Below are 14,320 nucleotides of genomic sequence, written 5' to 3' on the forward strand. Positions count from 1 at the left end.
GGGGGCACCTTTGCTTCGGAGCCCAAATCCTGCAGCCCCAGGTGCCACCACGGACGCCAGCTCATGACACCAGCAGAGGTAGTGCAGGAGACAAGACCCTCACCCAGCGCCTCAGCCCCTTCCTGTCCCATCCCTCGAACCCTGAAGGAGATGTCAGCTGAGCTCTTGCTGCAGGAGGTGCCAGGCCCAGGTGGCTTGATCAGGGGTTTTGTTTCCTCAGTTGAAGGTCGGGGCACATGGGCCCCATCACGCTTGCTCTTCCTGTCTGGGCAGTGGTGGTTGACAGCAGCCAGCTCTGCATCACTCAGGAGGGAGCCGGGGCTAACCCTCACTGCACAGGGCTTCCACCCCTCTGTTCGGCCGCCTTCCCCAGGGATCAGGACAGCAAAGTACATTACATATTTCTCCATCGTTCTTCTTAGATAGCATCAGTACACTGTTTATTCGGTTAGCAAAGAGCAGAGCAAGAATTGAATGACTGAAGGTGTGTCTCTGAAATTGAATAATATTTAAGCCAAGCAGAAGTTCTCCTTTCCGTGGCCAGACCTCACTAACGGGGAAGGAAATTGGGCAGTGAAAAGACAGCACTCCCATGCCCTAAGGAAACTCTGAGAGAGGCCACTTCGTTGCCTGCTCGGCAGGCCCATTCTCTGCCTGCAGAGTGAGCCCGGCTTCCCCCAGGGCCTCTTTGTGACGGGACCGACAAGGGTTTCCAGGCAGTGGCTTGGGCTGTGGAGACCTCAGCCTGTGTATTAAGGGTACTGGGCTGAATGAGGGCACTGTCTGCGTGAGTTCCCTTGGGCAGGGATCTGGGTAAGGCGGCAGTTTGGAGAAGACCGGGGCATGTTCTGTCTGGCCGCAGTGTCCACGGGGTCAGCGTAATTTAGCCGGCTCTGCTGGGCTTGGTTCACAGGTCCGACTGCTGGTCACAGTTATCCGTGGCTGTCGGTCATCCTAGTGAGCTTCCTTCTTTTTCCCTTCATTCTCTGGCTCCTTCCTTAAAACCGTCAGGATTTGTGTGCTTGGAAACCTCTGACCACCCTCCTGCTCCACCGTGAAAAACAGTGTATGGGGGCCCCTATGTGCATCTCACCCAAAAAGGTCCATTTTTAGAAAGACCCGAGGATCTCGGCAGAGACTTTTACACCCACAAAATGCTCCAGCCCAGAGACCCAGCCTCCAGCACAGGACAGCGTGTGAGACTGGCCCGAGGTCTTCCGTCGCCGCCCCTGCTGTCGGATGACATGCACATTTCTGCACCTGCAGGACCTCAAAGCGAAGTAACCCTGGACACACCCTTCACTGGGTCTCTTTCCCCCACATCTCCCCCAACAATGGAAGGCAAGCACCGCTCCACACGAAAATAACAACACGGGTGCAGTTCTGTGCCTCTCCTTAGCTTCTCCCTGCCGCCCCGTGGGCTTGGTCATGGTGTCACCACGCACTGTAGATGTCGCAGACGCAGGCCCATGGCCGTGTGTGCCCCTGGGCATGTCTGCTGTCTTCTGGGGAAATGGAAACGCCACCATAGGCATTTACTCAGGCAGAAGCTCCAGAACTTTAGATCCCAGCTTTGCCGTTTTTAATTGTCTCTTGTTAAAATGTGAGTATCCCAGATGGAATGCAAAAGAGGTTCGTGCTGCTGAGGCCCTGGTTTCTTTTCTGAATGGATGTGCCAGGGTATTTCCGCCCACAGTACACTTTAAGCCAAAGTAATTTGTATCATCTTTAACACAAACCCAAAACACGAAAGGCTGTGTTTGTTTAACTAGACGTGTAAGCTATAGTTATCTTTATTTCCGCTTTAACTGCATAAGAGAGGAAACCTTTTTAACTATAAGGAAGGTGTTCGGCTTCCTTTTATCTCTTGCCTCATTATGTACTTTTGACTTTATTCAGATTTGTACAAGCTTGGTTTTTACCTCACAGGAAAAGCGAGAACTAATCGCTCCAGAGATCATCTGAGCTCTTTGTGTGAAGGTGTTTTAAGAAGTTGTGACTACATCTTCTTTTCTAAAACAGCCTCCAATTCTGTGATACAAAGTGAAATGCCAGTTGTTTGCAGCTCCGGGGCTGTGGTCCTCCTGGACACCAGCGGTAGCAACAGGCCCCATCCACACAGGGCTGGGGAGACAGGTCCCCTTCTGCACGGGGCCCAGGAGACAGGCCCTCATTCATACAAGGCCAGGGAGACCAGCAGAATCAGCACGGGGCCAGGGCAACAGCCCCATCCACACAGGGCCGGGCAGACAGGCTGAATCCGCACAGAGCTGGGGTTGGAGCTGAGAGTCATCCCTGACCCCAGCTTCATGGTCCTCCAGCTCTTCCCTGCACCATTGCCATGTTCTTACTGCTGCAGCCCTGCGTCAGGGCAGCTGCGGTGCCTTCTGCCTCTTGCCAGGGGCCCCCAGCCCCCACCAGTCACACTGTGGGCCGCACTCATAGGACAAAGTGCCCTTCCCGCCCTGACACGCACAGTCCTTGCCCACCTTTCTGTGAGTCTCAGTCCCCGAGGCCTCCACTCTGCGTCTACGTTCACACTGTCTGTCCTACGTCCGGGATGGCTCTGTTGCCTCCTCTCCATGGACTGGCCGTGCATACCTTGTGTGGACAGAGTTGGGACGGTGCTCCCGGCTGCATCGGCCGCCTGTGCTGGGCCACATGTCCAGGCAAGTGAAGCCTTCACTGGGACCCTCCCAGAGCAGCATGGGTGTGTCGAGGAGAAACATTCTGTAGATCTCAGCGCACGCCCCCCAAGGCAGCCCAGGAAGGAAGGGTGAAGGGCCCGCGGGAGCTGTGCGTCCACAGCATCCACAGTGCAGTGACGTTTCCCACCTTTTCACAGAAGCCTGAGGAGCAGCACTGTCTGCAGAAGGAAACTAGAAAACTTCCGTGCTCCAAGCCTGGGAAGTCCCGGGGAAGCATGCCGTTTGTCTGGGGCCTCGAGAGGCAGGGAAGGAAGGAAGGGAGTCACCTGAAGAAATCGGACCCAGGGCCAGGGCTTCCCACGGGGGTCCACAGCACTTGAAATCACAACGGGATGTGTCATGCACTCCACAGCCCCAGGTGGCAGCGGGAGACCTCCCCTTCAGGGCCATGTCCTCAGTCCGTGGAACACAGCCCCAGAAAATCCACCCCTGCTGGAGATGGGGAATCCTTTCCATGAGGGCCCACCAGGTCGAAGCCACAGATGAATGAACACCCCAAACAGAAGCAGCCACAAAACAGTCTGAAGCGACTCCCAGAGGTACAGGTTCAAACTGCAGGAAATCAAAGGGAGGAGAGTGTCCAGAAAGAACCAAGAGGGCCGCGCAGTAGCTCACACCTTTAATCCCAGCAGTTTGGGGGGCCCACGCGGGCGGATCACCTGAGGTCAGGAGTTCGAGACCAGCCTGGCCAACGTGATGAAGCCAACATGGAGAAACCCCATCTCTACTAAAGATACAAAAAGTTAGCTGGCCGTGGTGGCAGTCGCCTGTAATCCCAGCTACTAGGGAAGATGAGGCAGAAGAATCACTTGAACCCGGGATATGGAGGTTGCAGTGAGCCAAGATCGAGCCATTGTACTCCAGCCACGGCAACAAGAGCAAAACTCCGTCTCAAAACAAACAAACAAACACCAGGAAGGTTTGAGAAAGAACCAAGTAGACACAGGCACACGAGGCACAGGGCTGCCCCCGAGAGGACAGACTCACCGATGAAGGAAACACAGAGTAGGCCCTCTGGAGCGTGGGAATCAGGGGACTGCAGGTAAACCCTGAGGAATCCCCTGAACACAGCACACGGCCATGGAGGAGGCAGAACGCGTGGATGTGGCCTTGCGTTGTTGGACTCGGGGTGGGGTGGGCCGTGTGGTGCAGTCTAATGACTGTGTCGATATTTCTGGGAACTGTTTTCAATAGTGAGTGCTTGATGATTTAGGTGCAGCCGTGCCATCTGTAAGTCTTACAAAGGGACACTGTCACTTGGGTTGCCTTGCGCTGTGATGCAGACTCTCAGAACACACGTCCTGGGAGGCCTGAAGGTGGAGAGTGGTTGCGGGGCCTCGGTGCGTCCTTGCCTCACCAGTCCCCCTTTCTGCTGCACAGCTAGTTGAGACGTGTGTGCCCATGAAGCAGCCACAGGTGTTTGCCCGTTTAGATGCAGTAGGTGTTTGCTTTTCCGATGTGTGGAGGCAGGGCCCAGAGGTTTACTAAGCCCCTGTTCTCACTTTTGCAGTGCCGTGGAGGTCCCAGCCCCCGCTGCGGTTCTCGGAGGTCCGGAGCCCCTGATGCAGTGCACAGCCTGGCTGAATGCCTATTTCCACCAGCCCGAGGCTATCGAAGAGTTCCCCGTGCCGGCTCTTCACCATCCCGTTTTCCAGCAAGGTCGGTAACTAAGCCATCTGCGGTGTTTCCTTTGGGGAGCTTGACTTATTAACGATCGCTGACATCACAGTTCATTTTATTGAGTATACCAACTTGGTATTTTTACATCAGCTAAACAGAGGCAGCGTTTGGCCGAGCTGGAGGGACGGGGGTTCGCCGCCTCCACCCACTCCAACACTTGTGTTAGTTTTGGCACAGGGTTGCATAATTCTTGGCAAAGGCAATAAAAATGAAGCATGCAGATCGACTCTTGACTCTCGCTGGCTGAAAGGTTTAAATAGGAACACATCTGAATGGCAGTAAATTTTTCAATAAGCTTATTGTGAACTTCAACTATCTGCTTGCCAACAGCACAGAAAACGAGACTTGTGCGTGGACATTTAGCTATTTCCATACACTCTGTTGGTGACACTTACATCATAGCAGGTAGCAGCATTGGAGCTTCTCAAATAATTTTACATTTAATTTCTCAAACGTACCAGAGTTAGACATATTCTTTCTTAAGAGATGACTTGAGAACTTACCTGTATGTAGCCTGCTTAAGGCTTGTGATAATCTAAAACATTTCCCAGACATTTCTTTTAAAGCTTGTGTTTGGCTCTGCTCAATACAGAAATTAATTACAGCAACTAAAATCATTCCAGACACATGCCAGAAATTTATTTTGCATAGTGAGTTTTTCATAATCATTTTTGTGTATAAATGAACATATATTCATATATGATGTATATATGGAGTTGTACACTTATATATCCTTAAAGGGAAAAATTACCTTGAGATTTTAGATGTGGTGAATTTAAAGCAATTTTGAATTTCAGATCAGATTTGCTGGGTAAGCTTAACAGTATTCTAATTGCTGCGGTGCTTCTCAGCACAAAACAAACTTGAAAATGGAGAGAACTTTTCAAGGGAAGCAGGTAAAGAAACCCCTGAAGGTTGGGCTAATACCTGAGTTCACTAACCAAGTCAGACAGGCGAACATATGAAGTCATGAGCACGTTTTGTGCATAATGAACTGAAGCTGTGCAGCTATAATGAACCAGGCACCTTGCTGTCCTCTGAATCATACAGAACTGTCTCCAGAAGGGTTCAGTGGGGATCTCTAGGATGGGCAGATAGGAAGCTAGAGTGGGTGGGCCTTTACATGGAACCACAAACGTCCAAGAAACCTCTCATCATCTCTGCCCACCAATGGGCTGCTGCCAGGACAAAGGCACTACCAAAGCCTCCTGGGCTGCCGCCAGCTGGGGGCCACCTCTCCCCAGCGCCACAAGCCAGTGAGCCAATTAGACGGTGTGGGGGACCTTGCTCACTGTGCACCTGATGGGCCGGGCACAGGGCAGGATGTTGCTGAATGGCCCAAGGAAGTCAGAGATTGGTTTTGTTTATTAAAGTTGGGGCTTGGGGATCTTAGAGTGGTGAACTCTTCTCTATACGATCTCTTTTTGGGGGTTCGCCTGCCAGGAGGAGCAAGGCTGAAGAGCTGTCCAGAGGCTTTTCTTCTCCTTAAGCCTGTGAAATATGTGAGCTGAAATGTAAGGTCTCAGGACAGAAAAGTTCTCTTACAAAACCAGGGCAGGAGGTATCTGCATAATCATATGGAGGCTGGGAGAATGAGCCTGCAAACCCCTGAAGTTTACCTAAGGTTTGTTGGGCAACTTCATGAAAAACATAGGGGCAAAAGTTCCATGAAAATCGTTAGTTTTCTCCAAGTCATATGGTGGCCCTGGCCATGGAGCTAGACCCTGCTGGCCTGGTCTCACCAGGGTCCAGAGAGTGGTGTGCTCTCAGGCAGGCCAGGAAGAACCGGAGGAGGAGGCCTCCGCAGCTGCTGACAGGAGCTCCAGGGCAGGAGTGGCCAGCAAGGAAGGTGGCACCGGAAATAATCAGACACTCTCCAAACCACCCCTGCAAGCACTGAACCCCCGCTGAGCCTTTTCCCCCTCACTTCTGCCCATGGCAGTGTTTGCTGCTCCTAGAGCCGAGGACAGGCGGGCCCCTGGGGCTTCTCAGTCAAGTCCCTAGTGCTTAAGCAGAGTTGGGATTGGCCACACCTACCCCTGCCTCCCTGGCTTTCAGCCCACGCCAGGCCAGGCTGCTTCCTGGGCTGGCAGGTCATGATAGGTCTTGGTGACCAGGAAGACCTCAGAGTAGCCGCCAGGATACTGGTAAAGGCTGTCTGGCTCCCCCGTGGCCCTGCCCCTCTTGGAAAGCCCTACAGTGCGGGTGGATACCTCTAGCTGGGACGAGGTCCACTCCAGCCAAGTTTTGGGATGGTAGTGCGACAGCCGCTCACATCCTTCTCTCTTGGTGTTCTAGAACTCTGAGGCTGGCTGCAGACCCAGGGTGCTGAGCTCAGGGCCTTCTCTCGAGGGTAGGGGCTGGAGTCCCCTGGGCCAGGCCTGCCTGCGGATGGTTAGTGGTTGCTGTGGGGGCTGGGATTCCCCACCACAGCATGTGTAAGCCAGGTTTTTAACATTTAGCTCAATCGTTTACTCCTGGGCAGGGGCCAGGTGTATGGATTTTACTGTTTGAAGAAGGGGAGGTGGATGGTGGATGGTTGCTAACAGGGAGTTAATTGGTTCTCCCAGATGTGGATACGCCCCTCTCTGTCTGGCATGAGTTTGGTTTGCTCTCTGTCCAGGTTGTTATCTTGTAACATCAGTGAAATCAACAGTGAGGGGGCAGGTCTTCTAGAGGAAAAGTCTTTTGACATCTCAGAGCCGCCTGGAAGCTGTGGAGTAACAGAAATCAACCTGCTTTGCAGACTGAGAGGAGCGGGTCCATTGTAACATGGAATGAACATTTCCTTGACCAATTCCTTTTTCTGCACATTTTAATTTCTGTATATGTTTAACATACTTTTGCATATCATTTTTCACCATAGTCTCACTTCTGAGATTGAGACCAGGTTTATCTATTTCAACCTGGTTTGTCTATGTCAACATTTTTAAAAATGTGATTGTATTTGAGCTCATCCTTGAGTTCCAGCACATTGACCATTTCTTTCTGAAGGCCTGGCTGGTAAAACTTCTGACTGCGCAGTACCAAGCCCTCATCCCTTCCTCAGGCCTGTCCTGCTGCTGAAAGACCCTCTCTCCTGCACACGGCCTCTTCGCGGTACCACCTCACCTTCCAGGATTCCTCTCTGGAACGAACATGCTGTTTGTGATTTGCTTTTTAAGGCTAACCACAAAAATATGCATTACGTTGAACCATATGAAATTGCTATTTTTTAGGTTAAAACTTATCAAATACCAGAAATTTCAGATGGTTCAACTTCTTATCTTGGGGAATTTCCAAAGACAGGTTAGTAGCTAGGTAGCTGTTGAAGTATTTCTGCCAAGGGACAGTGAAGCTGCCTTTCCCGACCGGGTGTCCGGAGGTCCCCGGGGCTGCCTCATTGTGAGGTTGGGACAGGTGGGATTTCCCAGTGGGAGGGCGCTGAGGCTCTGGAAGGAAGCCTCATTGTTCTGCTGAAGGGATTAAGAGGAAAGCTGAGCTGTCCAGTGAAGCATATTCTAATTTCTCGTTCAAGTGTTGTTTTAGTCAGGTCATTTCCTAAAATAAAATTAGTCAAAGTTTTCTTGGTTTGGGGTTTTTTGGCTTTTTTGGTTTGCTATTCTGGTTTTTTTAAAGTGTCAACAAAATCCATTTTCTAGCTACTGTGTGACCGAGGGCTAGCATCTTGTCGTACAACGTAGCTTTTTAAGGAGGTAATTTTTTCCCATAAGCCTCTCGCAAGGGTCAGCTTTGTATTTATTTCTAATTCATTTTTCCTCAAGAAATACTTATTTAATGAAGCCATTATTTTTGAAATACATTTTTACTTTTTTCTTTTATAATGAAATATCATTTAAACTTTGAACACTCCCTGATTTCTTAGTGTTTATTTATGAAAATGTTTAGCTTCTTTATATAATGTGCCTTCTGGAGAAGCTGTAGGGGTCAGCAGCCAATGCAGCTACAAGAAATCCTTTCTACCTTAGTTTGCCAAAAGCAGCTTTTTACAATGAGTTCAAGAAAAGCAGACCTACGGAAAGCGAGGATGGACTTTCAGATACAGAACCCATCTGGGCACGTCCTCAGGTCCCTGAGCCCTCCCACCCATGGAAACCCTGCCAGCAGGTATGGCTGACCCCAGGCTGCTGAGGGAGGTCCTGCCAAGGCAGGACCAGGCCTTGGGGCTGCCCACGCGAGACTGTGGGGAGCCTAGCTGGGACCCCAGCCTTCTCACAGTTGAAGGTGTTCAACGGACGAGTTCTGAGTTTTCTTTGTAAAGTGACTGCAATGTTCCCTTTTAAATGAAATATTTAACACTTTAATAATTCCTTCGTCACAGCTATTGGCTTACAGCTATGAAATCCAGTTGCATGACAGCAGTAAAATCTCCCTTTTTTAACACCTGCTGGTAGAAGTAAGTTTTTGTAACTTCTATTATAGAGCCTCAGAAAGGATTCATATTTTTGTATTTTTGTGTCTCCATCGAATTCCTCATTTCAAAAGCGCCTCTAACAAAAGCCCTGCCCCAGAGTTAAGGGAAAGGGCCTTCAGGGTGAATTCGTTAAGGTTCCCACCGTGTCCTGGAAGATGGGCCCTCTTTGCTGGTGCTTCTAGTGAGGACTGCTTGGGTCCTGGAAGGGGCATGTCCCGGGAGAGGATGACGAGGGAGGAGAGGAGAAGAGAGTGGCGTCATTACTTGGGTCCTCACCGGAGCCAGCCCTTTAAGATTAGAAATCCTTCTTGAAGAGCCAAGCAAAGGCTCATCCAGCCCCCTACAACCCCATCCTGCTGCCTACTCACATCCAGGAAAGAGCCCACCCCTGATGGGTGCCCAAGTAGATGGCCTCCCCTGGAAAGAGGCATATTAGCCCTCCTCACCCGAGGGTCCTAGGGCCCGTTTGGGTGTTCTTAAAATGTGCCTTATAAGTCGTGATCCAGCCTGAGTTTTTCTACAGAGACACTGCAGCCAAGAGGGGATGTTTTTCTTGTAGCTTCCACATAGATCACGGCAGCACGCAGGCTTTGTCCTTTCAGCACTTTGTACCGATATTTTCCCTGAACTTAAGAAAAAAATTACCAATTGAAAGAGAAGAGAATAGCTAAAATAGGAGATGCATTTGCCACCACGTGTGGGTGGCCACCGCTGTTCCCCTTGATTTTAAACGAGGGCTCATAAATATTGTTGACCTTGCTGAGATATTACCTGGTGGAGCTGGAAGGTTTGTAAACCTTCTTCCGATGCCCGTTTATTGATTAGAACAAGCTAACAACACTGCACTTAAGTGGAAAAAACAGCTGGTAAAAATGTAATTCTTTCAGCCTTAGGGCTGCTGTGCTCCTTTTCTGGAGAGCAAATGTGGAAATCAAGATCTGTGGCCTTCTGGAACCTTCACCAGGAAAGGTGAAAAGAAGAAGAACCCATCCACAGCTGAGAGTGGATGGCAGGCCCGCGGGTTTCCAGGTGGCCAGTAGGATTGTCCGATGTCTGGAATGAGTACCGGGGCCGCCACCAGGAACACTTGTCATTTCTACCATGGAGAGGAAAGCCCAGTGCATTTCTGTGGTTCAGAAACTTGACACAAAGAGAAAAGCTGGAATGTTTAAAAGCAAAAATAGGGCAGAGATCAGTGAAAGTGCAGGATGTGTGTGAAACAAGGGTAGAGTGAGCACTGGTGGGGATGGAGGTGGTGAGGGGTCTTCTGAGCTGGGGACGTTTACTTACACCAGCCCTGCCTCCCAAGAACCCATCCCCTGTGGGTCCAGAAGACCAGATCCCCGCCAATGTCCTTCCCTTTCAGAGCTGTCTGGAGGAGCATGCCACTAGTTCCCAGGGTCTCATCTGCCGGCACACGGCCTGACTTTCATGGGAAGTCCCCATTGATGCTGTTCCCTTCCCAGTGAGTGGGCTCCCGTCACCCGTCCTGGCTCATTTGAATACCTGCATCACCTCCAGCCCCTCAGCAGAACAAGAATGTCAGATAATCCAGAATGCTGTTGAGAGCTGCTCCAGGTTGGGGGCTCGCAGCCCCAGCATCCAAAAGCCTGGTTTCAGCAGGGCATGCCCGCAGAGCCCCTAGGCGCCCCGAGCTCTCCTGGTTTGCCCGGGCTTTGCCTGCACGGGCTGGCCCCGTGGACTGCCTGGCCAGGCCAGCCCAGTAACAGCGAAGCACACCACTCTCAGCTCCTGAGCTTGGCTGACCAGCTATACTCTGGCATATTGGTGAATTTCATGGGCCAAAGAACCTGAGGTTCAGATTGTGTCTTAGTTCATTGTTTCATATTTGAATATGCAGTTTCCTACCTAGCAATTGTCATGAGTACTTTCTTGCTGTTTATACTATGAACAACATCTTGGGCTAGGAGAGAGTTTTTAAAGTTTCAACAATGATTCATTCAAGCACTTTCCTTTTTCAAGTTACTCATATCTCAGTTCATTCAATGGGGTTGGGGGATTTATATCAGAATCCTCTAGACATTTCATTTATAATATTCTACCTATAAATTTTTATACTTCTTACCCCTCCTCAAGATACACTAAAACCTTAGCATGGGCACACGCACACACATACCCTGTTTCTGAGAATTATTGTTCTAAAGGAATTTATCAAAATGGATGTAGCTCCTATGAATGCTTTTGCTGTGTGCTTTACCCTCTACTAAGCCTAACATTCCTAATTTAATAGCTATTTTTGTTTGAGACTTAAAAACTGTGCGCATTGAAGGAATGTTTTGCCGTTGAGGAAATGCCAGCCCCTCTCCTAGGAAAGGGGTGCTCGGCTCCTGGTCCACTGGCAGTGGCTGGAACAGAACCACAGCCTGCTGAATCCCAGGAAATTCATGATGTCCCTGTGCAGAGCCCTCTGACTAATCAGCGATCCCACAATGCCTGTAGCAGAAGCATAGTTAGGTGAGAGTTTTATCCTGAATGTAAGAGGTGGCCAGGTCCTTAGTTCCCTGAGGTTCCGTGAGTCGGGGGTAAAGGAAGCAGCCCTCACACAGAGTAATTTACCAAGCCTGAGAGGGAACCAAGAGGACTGTTTGAGAGTCAGCCACTTCCAAACCTTGGTGGACATAACGAGGGTCTCTACTACAATAAGCAGGACTTGTAATATGTAAAATTATTATGAGTGCTGCTTTTATGGGAAAATATTCACATTAAAATATAATTTAACTCTGGTGAAGTAATTAAACAGTAAATCAGTGATGGCTTCTATTAAAAATTAAGTCATCGTAATTATGTGAATGCCTTTAGAAGGATTTTCCGCAGTGTCCTGGCGTTGGCCTTGAGTGGACTTCTCAAAAAGTAGAAGTAACCAGGTTTCTGCCTGTGAGGAAATGTAAATTGCATCATTGCTTCCTTTAATAAATTTTCATTTTAAATGGGCTTTGAAAAATAGGAATTTTCTCTCTGTTTTAAAGTAAAAAACACACTTTTCACTTAAATATGTTTCTAAATTTCTATTTCCACTGTAGTCATTAGCTGGACATGTGCCGCTCCAAAAGAGAATGTTAACCTTCGTCTCTTTTGTCGTCATAAATGCACATTCATGTTTTACAGGTAATGTTCGTGCATTTGAAATAATTCCAGCAATAATAAGTAGAATTATCTCCACTACCTGTGTTTATAGAGAAAATGATGTTTTAATAACGTGTGCATAGAATTGGACTATGTTATCAATACGTTAAATGTGTAAATATTAGTATAAAATTAATAGTGATAATGCTGAAAAACTATTGCAGGAGCTGAAAGTGTAAGAACTATGACTTAATGTAAATGCTTTCACACATACGGTTTTTGCCTGCAATCCTTATGTTCAGGCTGACTCGGAATATAAGATTCATGAGTCTCTGTCCCTCTTTATATGTTGTTTCATGTGTCAGAATGGAAAAAGCAAATATTTACGTAGAGGGAACTCCTCCCTCCTGTTGGAGGTACGCGGCGGTCAGTGTAGCTTCTGAGGCCGCGTGGAGATGGGAACATCCTCAAGACAGAGCAGACTTCCTGGAGGCTCAGCCGGAACGTCTCCAGCTCTGTAGCACGTTTTAATTCCATACAAGAAGTTACTCCCAAAGAAGTAAATTGAAGAACGAAATCGAGGAAAAGAAAGTCCTTTTTTGAAAGCTCTTAAACACTTGACTCCGTTTAGTTCGGATCAGGCCTTCTCTGCCCTTCCAAAGATTCAGGTTAGGTATTGGTAACGCCCAGGAAGCACCCACTCTGGCGAGCCCACCCTCTCCGCCAGTAAATATATACAGTGTAGCTGTTACTATGACAACGACTTTTTTTTCTTGAGTACTGTTTTTAATTGTTGCACAAACACATATTGTGTAAGAAAGGGGAATTGTCCATAGTCTTCCACGTGTGGATGTGTGTGCCCACACTGTCTGCTTTCTTTAAAAATGCACATTCCTTTCTGGATTGGGCTCCGCGATCCCCCGCCTGCCAAGCAACCTGATTTTCTCTTCAGCCTTTCCTCACTTAGATGGTTTTAGTAAGACCTAGCAACCGAGCTCAAGAGACACGTCAGGACTTACTGCTTGCCCAAGACATATACTTTTCATAGAAAATTCGCGTCTCTTCCTCTTTTCAGAATAAAATATGCAAGAACCAACAGAAATGGCACATTCCCCTGCTTTTCCCCAAGAATTGGGCCTTTGATGTTCAAGAGCAGCTGATATTAAAGGCTATCCCTAGAAGGCTGTAGAAACTGTACCTATTTATGACAAATGTAAAACAGCACAAATCTAGCTGAATGTGATGGTATCATTAGTTTGTGAATCGCATCCTTGAAAATAACTGTGAAGGAGCCAAATCGGTTTAAAAGAAGATAACAAAATGGTTTAAGCTACTTAGGTTGAATGCCAATTATATTTTAATATTCAACTGAGCATATTTTACTAAGAAAAAAGGCCGCATTGACGCATGCATAACTCATTGGCAGCGTCGGCCAGCTGTGCCGCTCCACTCTCCGAATCACTTTGTGCATTTTAGTAGCATGGTAATTTAGTAGAGGACTACCTGAGTGATGGCATTTTCAATGAGCAGGTAATCTACAGAGAATTTTTATATGGTTATGAGTTCTGTGCTTCAGCCCGGCAACACAAAAATACATCAAGACCAATTACGGTATCAACTTTCAGTGTGATACCCTTGCCACGCAAGTGCATGTATTTCTGCCCCAGGCATTTCAAATTGCATCTAATTTGAAATCTTTGGGGTTTTAATTAAATTTCAGAATATATGGAATTCTTCATTAGTACCTGCTCTGAATAGCAGATCATCCTTCTCCCAGTCTCTCGTTAAAGAAGTAGGCTGTGGTAAATAGCGTGTTCAGTAGCTGATCATTTGTGGGACCTGGGTATTGGAACAGAAATAGTGAAATGCAAAATAATATCAAAAAGATTATTAGTCCAGGGAGAGTCTCTTGATTTGTATTTTAATGGAATTTTACATTTCTCTTAATGATTTGCAAATTGTCCTCTGATTATAAGATGCATTAAGCTTTTCATTTTAATGGCAAAGACACAGCCATTAGCAGAATTTTTTTTTCTGTCTTCTTTTTAGAGTGCTTCCCTGCAGCAGATAAATATTGAAACCATTAACACCTTTTGATGTATGGTACAGTCTGCATCTTAGACCCACACATGGCTGGCCGGCTGTGGTCCCTCCGTGCCGCACACCTGGCCGGGGACCCTGACTCTTCTCTGAGGACAGTGAGCAGCAGTAATGCCTGTTTCCTTTTCTGGAAAACAGGATTCTTTTTGAAAATTTCATCAGAAGGTGGTGTTTATTTGTATTAAAGCAATGCATTTAAATATTATTCATGGCCCAATGTGTATTTAAAAAGCTGGTCTTACCAGTGTTAGGGTTGACGGTGCCCACAGCTCCTGCCTTGCTCTGGTCTGCGGGGCTGGCCTTGGTGATTTTGGAAATGGAATCTGGCCTTGCC

General features: G+C 48.2%; 1 protein-coding gene and 1 long non-coding RNA gene across 2 annotated transcripts in view, besides 1 other annotated feature; both read left to right on the top strand.

Annotated features, from left to right (window-relative positions):
* MGMT (O-6-methylguanine-DNA methyltransferase) overlaps positions 1-14,320 on the top strand; it is a 303,743-nt gene that overhangs the window by 236,436 nt on the left and 52,987 nt on the right. Inside the window, exon 3 of the mRNA NM_002412.5 lies at positions 4,219-4,367. Coding sequence (NP_002403.3) covers positions 4,219-4,367 — 149 coding nt within the window. The remainder of the gene's footprint in view (positions 1-4,218; positions 4,368-14,320) is intronic.
* On the top strand, positions 4,374-14,191 carry LOC105378560 (uncharacterized). Its single transcript, XR_946467.3, has 2 exons — positions 4,374-11,928; positions 13,936-14,191. It is a non-coding gene; the product is annotated as an uncharacterized LOC105378560 (long non-coding RNA).
* Positions 7,575-8,290: an enhancer, noted in NCBI's record as "NANOG-H3K4me1 hESC enhancer chr10:131509515-131510230 (GRCh37/hg19 assembly coordinates)". NCBI's record gives its function as "activates a minimal SCP1, AML or CMV promoter by ChIP-STARR-seq in naive H9 embryonic stem cells {active_cell/tissue: H9 hESC(naive)}" and the evidence as "EXISTENCE:reporter gene assay evidence [ECO:0000049][PMID:30033119]".

Source organism: Homo sapiens, chromosome 10, assembly GCF_000001405.40.
Source record: "Homo sapiens chromosome 10, GRCh38.p14 Primary Assembly".
In the NCBI taxonomy this organism is placed as follows: domain Eukaryota; kingdom Metazoa; phylum Chordata; class Mammalia; order Primates; family Hominidae; genus Homo; species Homo sapiens.